Source organism: Homo sapiens, chromosome 3 (assembly GCF_000001405.40).
Source record: "Homo sapiens chromosome 3, GRCh38.p14 Primary Assembly".
Lineage (NCBI taxonomy): Eukaryota > Metazoa > Chordata > Mammalia > Primates > Hominidae > Homo > Homo sapiens.
This window is the reverse complement of record NC_000003.12, coordinates 177,501,956-177,518,756: the sequence shown is the minus strand read 5'-3', so window position 1 is coordinate 177,518,756 and position 16,801 is coordinate 177,501,956. Positions and strand designations below refer to the sequence as shown.

Sequence of the window (16,801 nt, the reverse complement as noted above, 5' to 3'; positions counted from 1 at the left end):
CAGTGAGACCCAGAAACTCCAAGTTTATTGATAACATTCACATCCTTTATTCCGGTTAGTGTTTGTACAGGCACTGCCAACATTTGCCTCTAGACTCTGCCTTTCTATTTTTTTATACATTGATGAACAACCATTCTAATTAACAGCTTTTCTTTAAAATTTTTGAGAACCAGGAAAGCCAAGCCTTTCTGAGCTGACCTTGGGCCCATTCTCCTTCACATACCTCCAATCCCTTCTGTGTTGAACTGTCCAGCTGCTTTTAATTCATCCATTTCCAAATTCTAGGCTCTGCTCCCATCTACCTCCTACAGTTACCAGCCCGACTCCCTGTTCCCTCCTGCTGACTTAAGCCTTACACCAGAACCCATTCATGGTTTGGAAGAAATTAAGGAATCCCAACCTGACAGACTCTAGACTCCACAGGCTCAACTCCACTAGTGAGCCCTGTTGTTGATCCAGGTAGAACTCTGTGCCTAGTTCTAAAATTTTGCCTTACTTCTCATAACTCAGTCCTTGGCTCAGCAGCCCATTTCAGTATCTGGGGATGTTCTTCATTTCCCATGGCTGAATCCCTGCCTTGGTCACAAGTCCTTTTGGACTGGAGTCTTGCTGGTTCTCTTCTTGACAGATCCCCGCTCCCTGCTGCCGCTGCCAGACATCAGCCCCTGCTCTTTCCCACCTTCACTTAGATGTTATCTCTCTTGCTTCTGCTATAAACCCACCTCAGCCCCTAACTTGCTCTGATGGGCCATCTAATCTGCAGACCCAGGCCCTTCTCTCTCCCCATCCCAGCCCATCTTTACTCTGTTCTCATACCTGACAGAGACAAAAACCCAATTAGATAAATTAACTTTTCATTTTCTAATACAAAAATTAGCCGGGCGTGGTGGCGTGTCTGTAATCCCAGCCACTTGGGAAGCTGAGGCAGGAGAATCGCTTGAACCCAGGAGGTGGAGGTTGCAGTGAGCTGAAATGTCTCCACTGCACTTCAACCTAGGTGACAGTGAGTAAGACTCCTTCTCAAAAAAAAATTTTTTGGCTGGGCATGGTGGCTCACTCCTGTAATCCCAGCACTTCGGGAGGCCAAGTCGGGCAGATCACAAGGTCAGGAGATCAAGACCATCCTGGTCAACATGGTGAAACCCTGTCTCTACTAAAATACAAAAAATTAGCCAGGTGTGGTGGCGCGCACCTATAGTCCCAGCTACTCAGGAGGCAGGGGAATCACTTGAACCCGGGAGGCGGAGGTTGCAGGGAGTGGAGATCGTGCCACTGCAGTCCAGCCTGGAGACAGAGCAAGACTCTGTCTCGAAACAAAAAAAAAAACTTTTATTTTCTTACTGCTCATGTTGCCTTTAGGTAGTCACCTAATCAAAAAGTAAAAACGAAGCTATCACTTAGAAATTCATCTCCTCTCATTTTACATACAGTGGAATGACATGAACTCAGTCCACATTAACAGGCATTCTCAAATTCTACCATGGGAAAAAATACTGGTTGAGGAGTCAGAAAATATGGGCTATTTAATAGATTATCTCTCATCGATGGAACATGGGCCTTTACTTCTCTGTCCCTAAACTGAAATGACAGGGCTTAACCTGGTGGTGTCTAAAGTCTTCCAATTCTGAAAATGCCCTGGCCACAGAAGGTATCAATTTTCTAGTTGGGGGCGCTGTGTGTTTATTTGTTTGTGTGTTTATAACTCTCTGTATTTTCCCTGGCAAGAGAAAGGGTGTTCTACAACCATTTATTCATGATTAATGATGTGGCTTGTGAACTTGAACCAGAGACTGTTCACCAGAAGCTTTTAGTTTGAAAAATTCCTGACTGTGGCCAAAACCAATGCTATGAAACAAAAGAAATGAGACAGTGCCTGCCTGCAGCCCACTGACCTGCAGCCCCAGGCGGAGCTCAGGCCGAGACCCCGAGAAAAGGGAACAGCTGGGGCCTGCTGGGACAGCACACACGGCCTCTCACCAGCTCATGCTGCACCCGATCTGAGGCTACCCAGCAGCAGTTTGGCTGCCCCCCAACCAGATTATAAATTCCTCAAGGGCAAAGAACACATCCTTTATATTTTTCCTGTATCCATATGGTGCAGAAAAAAAAAATAAAAGATTTTTGGGCTGGCATCCCAGCCAGAAACTGAAGAATGTTATCCATCCCCCACCCCCACAAGCCTCCTCCTCCCTTAAAATCACAAGAGGAAGACATTCAGGAATAGCTTTTGAGAAATGCCTCCCTCCTTCCGGCCTAAGAAGATATGTAAGTAGTTCATGTTCTCCCACACTGGAAGGGGAGACTCAAGCCCGTTGATGCATTAAATGAGACATTCCTGAATCAGAAGGATCATAGGTCAGCTCAAGCATTCGGTTGTGTTTGCAGCTCATTTCAGTAAGGCTGATTAACAGAAGAGCCAGACCCTTGTTCTGGCACCAGCTGTGTGGCCGGAACCTCTGTGACTAGAGACACCCCAGCCGGAATCAACAGGCCCGACCTGGACACGTGCATCGCGGCAGCAAGGTTAGCCAGTGTCAGCTCAGCCAAAGAATTTCTGGTTGTGCTGACTGAGAGGGTACACTCAGAACTTTGGACATGAAAGGATTCACTGAGGGATGAAAACACGGTATAGCATACCTAAGTATCCTCAGATTTTAATTTTGTCCCCTCTATAGCACATTTCAATGAGTAACACACAGCTAGGTGAATTACTGGTCACTCACTAAGCAATTGTTAAATTATTCTAGCTTCCTTTAATGAGAACAGAAACAAAGTTGCCACATACACACTAGTTCTGCTTTGTGATTTATTGTTGCCCATTGCCATCGTCATCATCATTGTTATCATTACTAAAGTAATATACACTTAGTGTAAAAAGAAAAAAATGCCAACGGTGTACAAGGAGATAAAGTTAAAGTTTCTGTTTTCATATTCTCTTCTAATCTTTCCCCCATCTCAACTTGACCCTCTCTGAATTGTTTCCTAAAACTACTAGAAGATTTACAAAAACTTCTAAAAATGTGCCATATATCACATACATGTAAATATGCATAGAAAAATATTACAGACATAAATGCATATAAACACAAACATATTCATGCACATACCTATGTATATATACAGTTTTTTCCCACAAATTGATCAGAGTACACTGTCTGGGACATAATGTTTTCACTTAGTATATATCTGACATTCATAGGAAAGCAAATAAATCTATGTATTCTTTACAATGACTTCATAGTATTCTATTATAAAGCTAAGACATAATCTATTCTGTGGGGGGTTTTTTTGTTTTGGTTTTGGTTTTTTGGGTTTTTTTGCACCATCTTTTCTCTGGAGTCCATGTTTCTAATAGTTTATTCCTTCCGAATTTATTTAAGCTCAGTTTCCAATGCATGGAGCTGACTGTTCTAGTTGTTCCTGCCACCACTGTTGCTATTTACGGGTTATATTTTTGTATATTCCATCTGTCTTTGTCTCTTTGCCTGTACAGTTCATACATTGCTTTATACTGCTGAAAGAGCCCCTCCTTGCTATCCTCCGAGGGAAACTCACACCTCCTCTGATTGTCTCTCGCACTTTATACACTGCATCTACCTGTGCTGAGCTCCGGTTCCAGGCAAGCACATTGTCTCCCAGGCCTTGCTGACCCATAGTGCTCCCTTCCTGTGGCACTCCCAGTCTGGATTCTCCAGGCTGCATTTCACCTTTGACCATCCATCCTTAAAGGACAGATCTCAAGCCTTTGTCATTCTCTAGGGAACTATGCCCTGGCTGCATAGCTACAAGGTCACTGACCTCATGGGTTGCAATGTCCTACTTCAATTGAGCACATCTGCTGGGCCCCAAATGGTCTTACCCTGTCATATTTCTCTCAACATCCCTGCCTCCCAGTTTCTCTAAGTTGCCAAATAAGAAGGAGGAATTTCCAGACAAAGCATCACCAAGGAGATTCTCACGCCACCCACCCTCACCCTTCTTTGTGCAGAAATATAGGTCTCTTGTAAAAATGTTATTCTTGTTCCGCATCGTGGGGGCAAGGAACAATATAAATCATGCTAAGACAGGAAATGTAGCTCCTCGTCAGACTGTTGTTATCCCACCAGAAATGTCTCCTTAGGATCTTGAATTTTGCTAACACCTTCCTACCGCATCATATTTGGACTACACCAGCCTGAGACACATGAATGTTCTTTAAACAGCAGATAGCAACATGAATAGACTTTCTTGTTTCATAGGCAATTGGGAAGGGCGGTAGGACTGAATGCAGAGTGCCTCTTCTAAACATACATCGCAGCTGTGTAGCATCTCATAATGACTTCACCAAAAAAACACACAAAGTCTCCAAGAAGAAGATGTCAATCATGGAGGGGGAAAATCAATCTGTAAAGCTCCCGACTAACCAAGAAATCCTTTCCCTCTTCTTTAAAGGCCCAAGACATTTTTTCTCCTGAATGGGGGTGCCCCTTGTTTAGGCATAGCTTGATGGCTGCAAGGTTGCAGCTGTTTCAGTGGAGCCAGCCAATATCTATCAGGATGTTAGACGATTGCCAGGAAAATTCTACGACAGGCAGCTCATTTTTCATCTAAGAATTCGATTGAAATTCTATCTCCCTCACTCGTGCAGTTTAATTTAATCGATAGAACATTACACTATGTCACATTTAGTATTAAAAATAAATGATACAGACCAGATATCTGAAAACTGGGCATTTGTTTTTGCAGGCATTTTGACTTTCCAGTGGCAAACATCCCAGCTTGCAGTGCCAAAAATGTCAAACACAGAAAAGTGTCACTTCAAATTAAGCAGCTATTGCTTACATTTGTTGGGGTTTTAGTCCCATGCTTTCCTCAGATTTCCAGTCCCTTTCAACTCAACCAAAGTTCTCATTAATGACAAGACCTACAGAGAAATAAGAATGCTTGATGGCGCAGCCTTCCACATTTATGGATTGCTGTTACGAGTCAAACATGGCAGATGTCCTGGATAGAAAAGAAATATTTGCAGCTGATTATATCACCACTGTTCATTCAAATAAACTGAAGCAGTATCACAGTTCAGAATTTTGAAACACAGAGTCCTTATTTCAAATTATTAGTGGACTTCTGCAGGATGACTTGTTGTCAGAAGTAATAATCCCAAAGCATGAATCTAAATATAGGCTAAATCCATGGTTGCACAATAGAGACTGCCCCCTTCCCACAGTCCAAGAAACAAATCCCAAAGTCCGGTTTGTTTTCATTTAAAATAGAAGCAGAGAATTTCTGGGCTGGAAGAAGCCTTACTTAGAGACCCTTTTAACCAAACTGTTAAATTCCTCCCCCCCTTTTTTTTTAATGAGGGAGAAACTTGAGACCACACAACCTCTGTGCCTTACTCAAGGTCACATTGTGTGGCAAAGCCAAAACTCTAAACCAGCTTTGACTGATTCTGATGAAAAGGTCATCTCTCCTTTCATGGTCTCCCAAACAATGTCAACATTCCACCCGTTCAGGAACTTTGATCCAACGTTCACTTTCAACTCGTGTGGGTTTCTAAAACCTTCTCTCCCAGACTTACTTTCTCTTTCATACATTCTTAGTCTTTCCTTGACTTCTCAATGCTTGGCATGTCCTGCCTCTTCTCTAGTCCCTGAGTCCTGACCTGAATTGTTCTCTGTTCTGACTGGACAGTTTTTCCTTGGGCTCTGAAATGGCATCACCATAGTCACCGCCACTCAGGTTCTGAACTTCCCAGGGGTGTCCTCTGTCTTTCTCTTTGCTCCCTATACCTCACAACTCCAGCCCCATCCATCCTATTTCCTCATTGCCAGTAGCTATACCTTCAACAGATTTTAAGCTAACCCTTTCCCCCACACACACAACCATTTTCCAACAATATTAGGCCTTCATGCGAGACTTTGGTGATAGACCATTTTATCACGTTGATTTTTATGTGGTTTTTAGACTGTTAGATTGACAATTTTTGACATGTATATTATAACACCTATTCATGGCAAGCATTCAGATAAATGGAAATTGTCATATGTCATTGTAGAGAATATAAATTATTACAACTTTGTAATGTAATCCAAATACCTTAAAAATGCATATGCCCTTCTGCCTGCTATTCCACTACGAGGAATTTATTCTGAGGAAGTCATCAGGGATGCACACAAAGATGTTCATTGTGGCAGTTTTTGTAGGTGCAAAATATTGGAAACCACATAAATGTCCAACAATAGAAGAATGATCACATAAATTGTGGTACATTTTAGAATCATTAAAAGCACTGTCATAGAAGAATATGTGATATGGAAAAACATTCACAGTATAATGGCATTTTTTAAAGCAGCTTATAAGAGAGTGTGTGTCATATAATACCATTTTTCTTTCTCCTGTTTTTAAATCTATAGTCACATACTAGAAAAAAGCTTGGTAGGATATATATCAAGATGTTTGCAGCGGTCATCCTAACAGTGATGTAATAGGTGATTTTATTTTCTTCAGCTCTATTTTCTAAAATTTCTATGATAATTCTATTGCTTTGTAAATAAAATTATAAACTGTATTAAAGGATTACCCTGAAACAATAGTATTAAAGCTGTAATCTATTTATTTATTTAAACCAACAATGTCTTAAGCACACTAGACACTACCAAACATTTATAATTTATACAAAGATAAATAAGAAAAAAGTCTCTGATCTCAAGAAGCTCATAATCCAATAGGAGAGACACAGATAAAAAATAGACTGTGGCTATTCAGAGTAGTAAGTGCTTCAGGAGCATAGAGGAGGGCACAACTAACTCTGAAGGCCAAGGTGAATGATAGGAAAAATTCAACAGCCTGGCGAGCAGAGGCGTACAGGGTCACCAAGTGACAGCACCCGGGCAAAGCACGCCCCTCTAACCTCAGAGCTTTTGACATATTTCTATCAGCATGTTAAAGATGACCATTTTATAAATATAAAGGGGAAAAATATTGGTTTTTGTGGTGATTAGAAATTTTCCTGGCATCATATTCATAGATGACAATCCTCAGCCCCTTGGGTGTCTGAAAGAAGTACAGAGAAACTCCAGCTCCAGTTCCCAAGACTGAATGGACATGTTCAGCCTCCCAACTAACCCTATCTGCTTGGCACTATTTGGAGAAGACCTCAGAGCATTTCACACATCACCACCTGATTCCTTGTCCCTTTCACCTCTGCCTTGGAAGGATTGTAATGCACTGTGGTAATCACCTGAAATTTTCCAGCAGCTGCAATTATCTAGCTGTTCTCCTTTCCTTATTTTTGAGGGGGAGGCAATGAAGAGGATTGGCAAAAAAAAAAAAAAAAAAAAATCTTTATTATAAATCTTTAAGTTTTTTTGGCAACTATTATTTGGCTGAACTAGAAAGTAACCAATACCATAACTCTATTTTAAGTTCAGAGTATTTCTCCTCTGGAAATTACCTTCCTCAAACCACTTTATGTAACAGTTCTAGCCTCTAAGGACCATTTAAGCTTTTTGCTCTAAAATTAAAAAAAAATCTTTCAATTATTATCATTCATTGTCATCATTTGTAAATATCCATTTGAACAAACATCTATGCATCATGTCACATGAGAAGAAAAGGCAGAGAACTGAAAATGCTGTTTTCTTCTCAACTTCATAGAAAGAAACAAACTCAAGCTGGGACTTTCTTCCTACACTAACACTCCTCAGAAGCACCACCCTCCCTCCAGATGGTTCCAGATGCCATCATGTTATTTTGGAACAACCCTGAGAATAATCTCTGAGCATGCCACTAGAATCTCCGTAGCTTTGTCATGTTGAAGTGTCAAGACACCTCAGGCGCATTTTGGGCATGGCCAAGTTACTATACCCAACCCCAGGAGGCCCTCATTGAGCATACCATGACAAAAACATCACTGCAGTCTGCACACCCTGGAATCAAAGAGCAGCAGATGTTCAGTAGATACTAAGGAACTTGGAAGATTCCCACAGAATACAAAAACAAATCTTGATGTCTATGTCATTTTCATACTGACCAGGTCCAATTGGCTGAACTAGAAAGTAACCAATACTCTAACTCTATTTTAAGTTCAGAGTGTTTCTCCTCTGGAAATTACCTTCCTCAAACCACTTTATGTAAAAGTTCCAGTCTCTTAGGACCATTTAAGCTGTTTGCTCTAAAATTTAAAAATAATCTTTCAATCATTATCATTCATTGCCATAATTTGTAAATATCAACACATGTCTAAGAGTAACTTCCTAAGTTCCTTATAGTAAAACAGTATTTTCTCAGAGTTGTTTATAACAGAAAGAAAACTTAGAATTAGGTAATTTTGGTGATTTTTCAGTGCCCTGTGTTGCAAATACTAACAGACATCGAAACTCACAATGTAGTCTTTGAGGATACATGAAAAATACATGATAGAATTGGAAGTCCTAGAATCCTATGTCCCCACAGGACACCATCAGCATTCAGAGGCATCAAATCATTATGCCTTTTGATCACAGGAAAATATGAGGAGTGGCTTTGTTAAATCTTAAAATATATATAATAAAAAGAGAGCTTGCTAATAATTAACTATAGCCTCTAGACTTCTCTAGAGGAACTTTTAACTCTTTCAGGACTGCCTTACAAAACGGATATGTGGTGATTTTATAGTGCACAAGGGACATATTTAGCATGATATATTTCAAAAGAGGAATAATGGCACCGCCCAGTTAAGTATTCTTTCCAACATGTCAAAAATTTTGCTACAAAATGTATCTATTAACATGTTTTGCAAGATTAGAAAATTTTCATTTACTTTTACTTTTTGTGCTTTCTCTACTTTAATTATCAGTGGGTTTATATGACCTGCTGGCATGGTCAAGCATTGACAGAATCCTAGAAGCTCAGTTTATGAGCTGGCATCCTAAGTGTCAGTGCAAAATGAATATTTTCTATGCCACTGATTGCTGAATTTACATAGTTACCACATTTTGCAACTGCATGTTAAAGGGACCTTGAAGAAACCCTGTAATATTCCATTAAATACTGAGAAGACTTTAACGTTTGATGTCGTTTTGTTCCTTTCCACCCTTTGGCTTCTGGAATATTAAAAACATATAATTATCTTAGAGTTCATGAAAACTTTGCCTCCAAGCAAACCCTTCAGTTTGAACTTACAAATTTTTCAAAATAAATTTTACTGGTAATGAAAATAATTGCCTTCATGTTGTAGAGAATTAACCCCATAACTCTATCAAATTGGTATTCTAAAATAACAAATAAAACACAAATATAAACCAGCATCTATCTTCAGGTTATTGGAGCCTATAAAAGAGGTAGCTAAAAATTCCTCTAAAAAATAATGTATTGAATTTTTAGATCCTCCAGCCCACTATTAAATTAACACACGTTAGTTTAGCTGGGTTTGATACTAGTGCAACTAGCAATTGATTCATACCTACTCATTCACTCAGTCTCTCAAGGTAAAAAATGTGACTGCTACTGTAACAGGTACATATTAATAAAGGAGCACTTAAAAAATAAACACAATGCTTTGTGATACAAAAAGTTTATCACCTCAATAATTTAAAAGGCTTTTATAAGGTTCCCCTTTGCCTACAATGACATGACATGATACTATGCTTTAGGGTCTCAGAATACTAAAAGAAGCCATGACAAGAGCAACAAAGGCACTTTTATTCAGCAATATGTTAAGCAGATCAGATATTAAGCTGTATCACTTTGAGGAAACCCTTCGACTTTTATATATCTGATTGCTGCCTGTCTTAGTCCATTTTCTATGGCTGTAACAGAATACCACTGGGTAATTTATAAGGGAAAGAAGTTTACTCAGTTCATGGTTCTGGAGACTGGGAAGTCTGAGAGCATGGTGCTGACGTCTGATGGGGGTCAACACAAGGCAGAGGGCAAGAGAAGCTCATTCAGGTAAGCTCACTTCTATAATGAAGCCACTCCCATAACTAACCCACTCCTGAGATCATCATCCACAAGGGGAAAGCTCCCATTACCTAATCACTTCCTAAAGGTCCCACTTCTTAATACTGTTACTATGGTAACTAAATTTCAACGTGAGTTTTGGAGGGGTAATTAAAAGCATTATTCTACCCTTCGTCCCCCAGAATTCATTTCCATCTCAAATATTCCATCTCAATAGCCCCAAAAGTCTTAACTCGTTCCAGCACCAACTCAAAAGTCCTAAGTCCAAGGTCTCATCTAAATTAGGTACGGGTGAGACTAAAGGCATGCATATTCCTTTCCAGCTGTGACATGTGAAATCAAAACAAGTTATCTACTTCTAGAACACAGTGGTGGAATAGGCATAGGATACACATACCCATTCCAAAAGGGAGAAATCAGCAGTCAAAGAGTGGTAACTGGTCTCAGGTATGTCCAAAACCCAACAAGTCTTAAACCTGAAATCTGCAGAATAATCTCCTTCAACCCCACGTCCCACTTCTTTGATACACCGTGTGGGGATTGGCCCCCTAAGGCCTTTGGCAGCCCCATCCCTGTGGCTTTGCTGGGCTCAGCCCACACGGCTCTCCTAGGCTGGTGTTGCACACTGGTAGTTTTATAATGTTAGGATATCAATGGTGGCCCCACTCCCATGGCTCCACTAGGCATTACCCTAGTGGGGGCTCTGTGTGGCAGCTCTGCTCTTGTGGCAGGTTTCTGCCTGGTCCTCCAGGCTGTGATAGCCTTTGAAACCTAGAGGAAGGTAGTCATTCCCCCACAGCTCTTGCATTCTGCATGCCTACAAAATTAGCATCATATGAAGACTCCCAAGGTTTACATTCTTGTACCTTCTGGGGCAGTGGGTCAAGCCACACATAAACCCACTTGAGCCATAGCTTGTATACCTGAGAGATGCTGTGTCAAAAATTTAGGGAGCAGAAACCTGAGGTGGCTCTGAGCAGTAAGCTCATGGAAGGCACCCTGGGCTGTTTCCCTGAAATTCTTCTGCCCTTCTAGATCTCCGGGCCTGCGATGGGAGGGACAGCCTCACATATCTCTAAAATGCCTTCAGGGTCATTTTCCCATTTTCTTGATGAATAGCACTTGGCTCCCTTCTATCGATGTTACTCTCTTTAGCAAATGATCATTTGGCCATACTCTTAGTATTCTCTCCCAAACATGCTTTTTAACCCTTTACATAGCCAGACTTCAAATTTTCCACATCTTTCTTCTGTGATTCCCTTTTAATTATAAATTCTATCTGGTCATTTCTTTGCTCTTATATCTTATTTTATGTGGTTAATAGTAACCATGCAGCAGCCTGAATATTTTTCTGCTTAGATATTTCTTCTGCCAGGTATCCTAAGTCATTGCTCTTATGTATTTCATAAAGTCCTAGGACATGAACACAATTTATCCAAGGTCTTTGCTACTTCATAACAAGGATGGCCTTTACTCCAGTTTCCAATACTTTATTTCTCATTTATATCCAAGGCTTCAGCAGAATGGCCTTTATTACTCATATTTCTACCAGTTTTCTGGTCACGATCACTTAAGTGGTCTCTGAGAAAATTCAGACTTTCCCTAGTTCTGGGGTCTTCTTCTGAGCCCTCACCAGAATCACCATTAATGTTCTGTTTATGATAGTCTAGGCTTTAGCTTGCTTGCTCCTCCAAATCCTTTCAGCCTCTAAACATTACCTAGTTCCAAAGCTGTTTCCATATTTTCAGTTATTTGTTATAGCAACAATTCTACTTATGCACCAATTTTCTGTCTTAGTCCATTTTCTGTTGCTATAACAGAATATCAGAGACCAGTCAATGAACAAAGAAAAGAAGTTCATTCAGCACAAAATTCTGGAGGCTGGGAAGTCCAAGAGCATGGTTCTGGCATCTGACAAGGGCCATCCAATGATGAATAAATGGAAGGCAAGAGAAATGCATGTGAGAGAGTACTGGTTCTTGCAACAAAGCCACTCCCATAATAACTAAGTCACTCCCAACATAACTGCATTAATCTACTCATGAAGGTGAAGCTCCTATGACCCAATCACTTCCTAAAGACCTCACCTCCTGATGCTATCATACTGGCAATTAAGTTTCAACACAAGTTTTGGAGGGGACATTCAAGCCATAGCACTGTCCCTCCTTTATGTCAGACCCCAGGAAAATTAATCTTTTATGACTTCTCTCTTCCCCTAACAAACCTCTTTTTACTTACCACGGCTGTGCCAACTCCACATTTAACAAGGCCACTGAATATAGAGTAAGAAGGCCTCAAATTCTATATTGCAGCTATCCTTATCTAGCTCTGTGACCTTAAGTAAAGTGGTTATCTTCTCTAAGTCTTATTTTTTTCCTTGGTAAAAGGGGTTTTCACCTGCCTTGCTTAACTAAAAGGCTGTTGTAAAGATAAAATAGGGAATGTTTTGTCTGACTGTTTTATAAGTGAACATTATACTGTGTAAGCTGCTCAAGCAAGTTAAAATTAAGTTCTGCTGATGTGACTGACAACCCAAAGTGATAGTGGCTTAAACAAGTTAGAATTTTATTTCTTTCTCATGTGAAAGAAATTGAGAGAGAAGCTCTTCAGGGCCAGTGTAATGGCTACAGGATGCAGGGACCCAAACTCTTTCTCTTTTGATGCTTTTTTTTTTTTCTCTCTTGATGCTCGACCATTCTTAGCACCTAATTTCCTCGTCAGGATTGAGGTTGGCCACATAAGCTCTGCCATCATGTCTGCGTTCCAGACAGCAAGAAAGAGAAAGAGAGGGGACATTCTCCCTCTCTTTAAAGACACTTACAGGAATTATGCATGACACTCCAGATGACATTTATTTGTCGGAGCTTAAATAGCTACATCAAACTGCAAGGGAGATCGAGCAAACATATGCCCAGCTGAAAACCAGGACTTCAAAAAAATAAGAATCATTCAGGTAATGGCTACTAGGGATGACTATGGTTTGAATGTTTGTGTCTCCTCCAAAATTCATGCTGAAACTTAATCATCAATGCCATGGTATTGAGGTGAAGCCTTTAGGAGGTGATTGAGTCATGAGGGCAAAGCCATCATGGATAGAATTGGAGCCCTTGTAAGATGGTATGAGGGAGTGAGTTTGCTCCTGTCCATCTCTGCTGCCATGTGAAAACACAGCATTCATCCTCAACAACAAGGTGCCCCCTTGGAAGCAGACAGCAGCCCTCACCAGACACTGAACCTGCCAACACCTCGGCCTGAACTTCCCTGTCTCCAGAATTATGAGAAATAAATTTCTGTTACTTGTAAATTATCGAGTCTTCGGTATTTTGTTATAGCAGCACAGACCAAGACAGGGATCAACTAGCAATCCATGACACAGATCATTTTTCTGACATCTGTGAGAATATTCCATATTCCATATTCTATTTCCAGCTCATTTGAACCTTGTTGAAACACTCCTGTTCTGGGTCACATTTCTTTTCAATTGTATTCTCTAGTTTCTCTAGGTTTTAGGCAACACTAATCACACAATAAATTAACTATATTAAAGTATTTAAAAGCAGATAATGATTTATTGTGGCCAAAATCTCTAAAATAATCTCCCTTTAAAAATTATTCTATCATAATCAATACAACTCATTGCCATAAGAGTTCCAACTTTATCCCTATAAAGTTATGTTTAATTATATAACTTCATTACTTAAAACCTGCAATAATACCCTAAGCTTAGGGAAACCATATATTCCAGTTTGCCCAAGGCCATCTTGGCTTATGCTTCTTGTCCTGGGGTCCCCTCTCATTTAGCACTTGTCCTGGTTTTTATTTCTTAATAAAGTAATAACACCTATATATGTATTAAAATAAGCCAAGGTATATTTCATGAACCTCTACTTTATATTTATTTCCAGCTTCTGCCATAGTCTCTTCTGGTACTGTGTGAGAAGCATGTAAAATAAATAGATTTCTTATTTTGACATTTGATTATAGCTAAAAGATAACAGTGATAAACCAACTCTCTTTCCTCTACCCTTTCAAGATCCAACTTAGTTTACATTTCCCTTCCAAGGACAACATATAGGGTTATTCACTCATAATTCGTTCATAAGTTGAAGTGTACTTGGATATAATTGGGTAGGATCAGTAAGCTCCTTCTAGTCCAATGGCAATGCCTTCCAGGTGCACCTAGTCACCAGGGTGACAGGTGGTTAATCAGGTAGAAACATAAGTAAAATATGTACAAGGAATAGAGATTGACCAATCCTGTCAGAGTCTATACAGAATAGTCTGAATGGTCCTACTCTACAAGTTTATCATCTTTTCAAGCCAGTAACAGTGTGTTTAAAACAAAGTTTCAACTATTGTATAGTGAAAATCTATAAATATGCATATATAATAAATGTTTTTACATATGAAATATCATACATAAATACAGATTTTATTATAAATACTTATAGATTTACACCATACATAATTATTAAGATAAAATAAATATATTTTATTGTCAATGCATTTTTATTTTACAATAAACCATTCAGCAGCAATAAGCTTAAAAGAAAAAAAAATTCAAGTTTTATAAAAAATTAGGACAGATTTTTCCTTCTTATTTTTTTCCCTTAAGAGAAGGTGTCACTCTGTCACCCAGGCTGGGGTGCAGTGGTATGATCACAGCTCACTACAGACTTGAACTCCTGGGCTCAAGTGATCCTCCCACCTCAGCCTCCCAGGTAGCTTGGACGACAGGAACATGCCACCACGGCCGGCTAATGTTTATTTGTTTGTTTTTAGAGATTAGGGTCTCCCTATGTTGCCCAGGCTGGTCTCAAACTCTTGGGCTCAAGCAATCCTCTTGCCTCAGCCTCCCAAAGTGCTGGAATTATAGGTGTGAGCCACCACACCTGGCTGACTTGCCACTTCTCAAAAGTATTGACAATGAAAGAGTAACTCATACCAAATATTTGTTGAGAATTACCATCTACCACTTGAGCTACTGATATTATTGGCCCAATGAAAACCAGAAGACACAAATATGAAGAAATATCAGAAACTCCTCTAACAGTCAAGAGAAGGCTGTGCCCAAAGATGGTGATTTCACATGTGCAGCTATAGAAAATACACACATCACATTGTGAAGCATGACTTTTTATTTAGATCAAATGCATCTTCTAAATTAACTTTACTCATTTTTTATTCCAAGTTTCCTTGTGCGAGTCTGAAAATAAAGTGATCATTATCAAGGTGTTATCTCCATTAGCAGAAGAAAAACTTCTAAAATAGTTAAATGGTGGATGTGAGGGTGATCTATTCACAACATCTGTCACCATATTGATCACCAAGGTTGATGTGGCTGCCAACCCGGCTGGCTATGTGGCTGTGCCCTTCCTCCCTCACTGCCCCATGTACATCCTTGCCAAAGCTCTGTGCTTGGTTGAAGAGAACTATCTTCCCTGATAAAATGGTTAAGTAGTACAAGTTTTACAGCAGTCTTCAGCTTCAAATTGAAAATCACTTAATTATAAAAATACTTCTATTCTTTTCAATGATTTATGAAATAAAAATATAGCCCATTCTGGCATAGTTGAAACATCTGACATTTTGTGAATGCTATTTTAAGTTCAGTTAAAACTTTTGTTGTTGTGATAAAACAATTAGAAATTTTGGTGGAGCCCAGCATCGTAGTAAAAACAATGATCTCACAAAACTTAAAAACATAGAAACTATGGAGCAGAGCTCTACTTGGAATTGGTTGTGGTGTACATGTAATTCATAAGTCGGTTAATACGAGCTGTGATATTCTACCATTCAAAATAAAAACTATAATTATCAAACTTTACATATATAGGTATACTTAAATCACTTCTATATATAAGTGGTTTAACTACATAAAATTTAGGATGACACATGCTGAAGACAAAAAAAAATTCAATACTGCAATACAAACTTTCTTTTTCTTGATGCCTACAATCAACTGAATATTAGAAATGTTTGAGCCTGGGGGCCAGGCGCAGTGGCGCACACCTCTAATCCCAGCACATTAGGAGGCTGAGGCAGACAGATCATCTGAGGTCAGGAGTTCAAGACCAGCCTGGCCAACATGGCGAAACCCCATCTCTACTAAAAATACAAAAATTAGCCAAGTGTGGTGGCAAGTGCCTGTAATCCCAGCTACTCGGGAGGCTGAGGCAGGAGAACTGCTTGAACTTGGGAGGCGGAGGTTGCAGTGAGCTGAGATTGCCCAGTTGCAGTCCAGCCTGGGCAACAAGAGCAAAACTCCATCTCAAAAAAAAAAAAAAAAAAAAAAAAATGTTTGAGCCATTGAAGAATTTTTTATATTAACCCCAGTGTCCTACAATGGAATTGAATTTTTAAATTAAAAAGTCCTCTAAATTATGGTTGCATTTTGTTCAAAATTAGTTGGAACTCTTTAATAAAAGTACTCCATAAATAAAACAACAAAAAAGTGTTGAAGTTTTTAGTAAATTTTGGTTACTAAAAATAAGGTTTATAACAATAAAGACATTGAAATTTATTCTTCCTAATACAAGGGAGGAACTGAACATATCAAATGAAAAGGGCTTAAAGGGTAAACAAGTTTCTGTTTTCAAATTTGATAATTGTTCTTCAGAATATATTACTTTTAGGGAGATCATTTGACAGAGCAACTATTTTTAATTCAACAAATTTATATTCTGTTCTGGAGTAGAATAAAAAAACTTATAATTTTATAACATTTATATTTGGCAAAACTTCAAAAACATCATAAACACAGATGACTTATTTGATGAGTTTTTGTCTTATAAAAACATTTGTTGAATAAAAATACACTGAATAGAGGGGGGAAACAACCTGAGATGTTTACACATTTTAATATAAAAAAATTTTT

The 16,801-nt window shown here is 39.2% G+C and overlaps 1 long non-coding RNA gene and 1 pseudogene across 1 annotated transcript in view, besides 1 other annotated feature; one reads left to right on the top strand and one right to left on the bottom strand.

Moving 5' to 3' along the window:
- Window positions 1-16,801, bottom strand: part of LINC00578 (long intergenic non-protein coding RNA 578) — a 310,784-nt gene that overhangs the window by 233,948 nt on the left and 60,035 nt on the right. The window lies entirely within an intron of this gene.
- Window positions 1,448-2,212: an enhancer, noted in NCBI's record as "H3K4me1 hESC enhancer chr3:177234333-177235097 (GRCh37/hg19 assembly coordinates)". NCBI's record gives its function as "activates a minimal SCP1, AML or CMV promoter by ChIP-STARR-seq in naive H9 embryonic stem cells {active_cell/tissue: H9 hESC(naive)}" and the evidence as "EXISTENCE:reporter gene assay evidence [ECO:0000049][PMID:30033119]".
- Window positions 15,205-15,454, top strand: RN7SKP52 (RN7SK pseudogene 52; annotated as a pseudogene).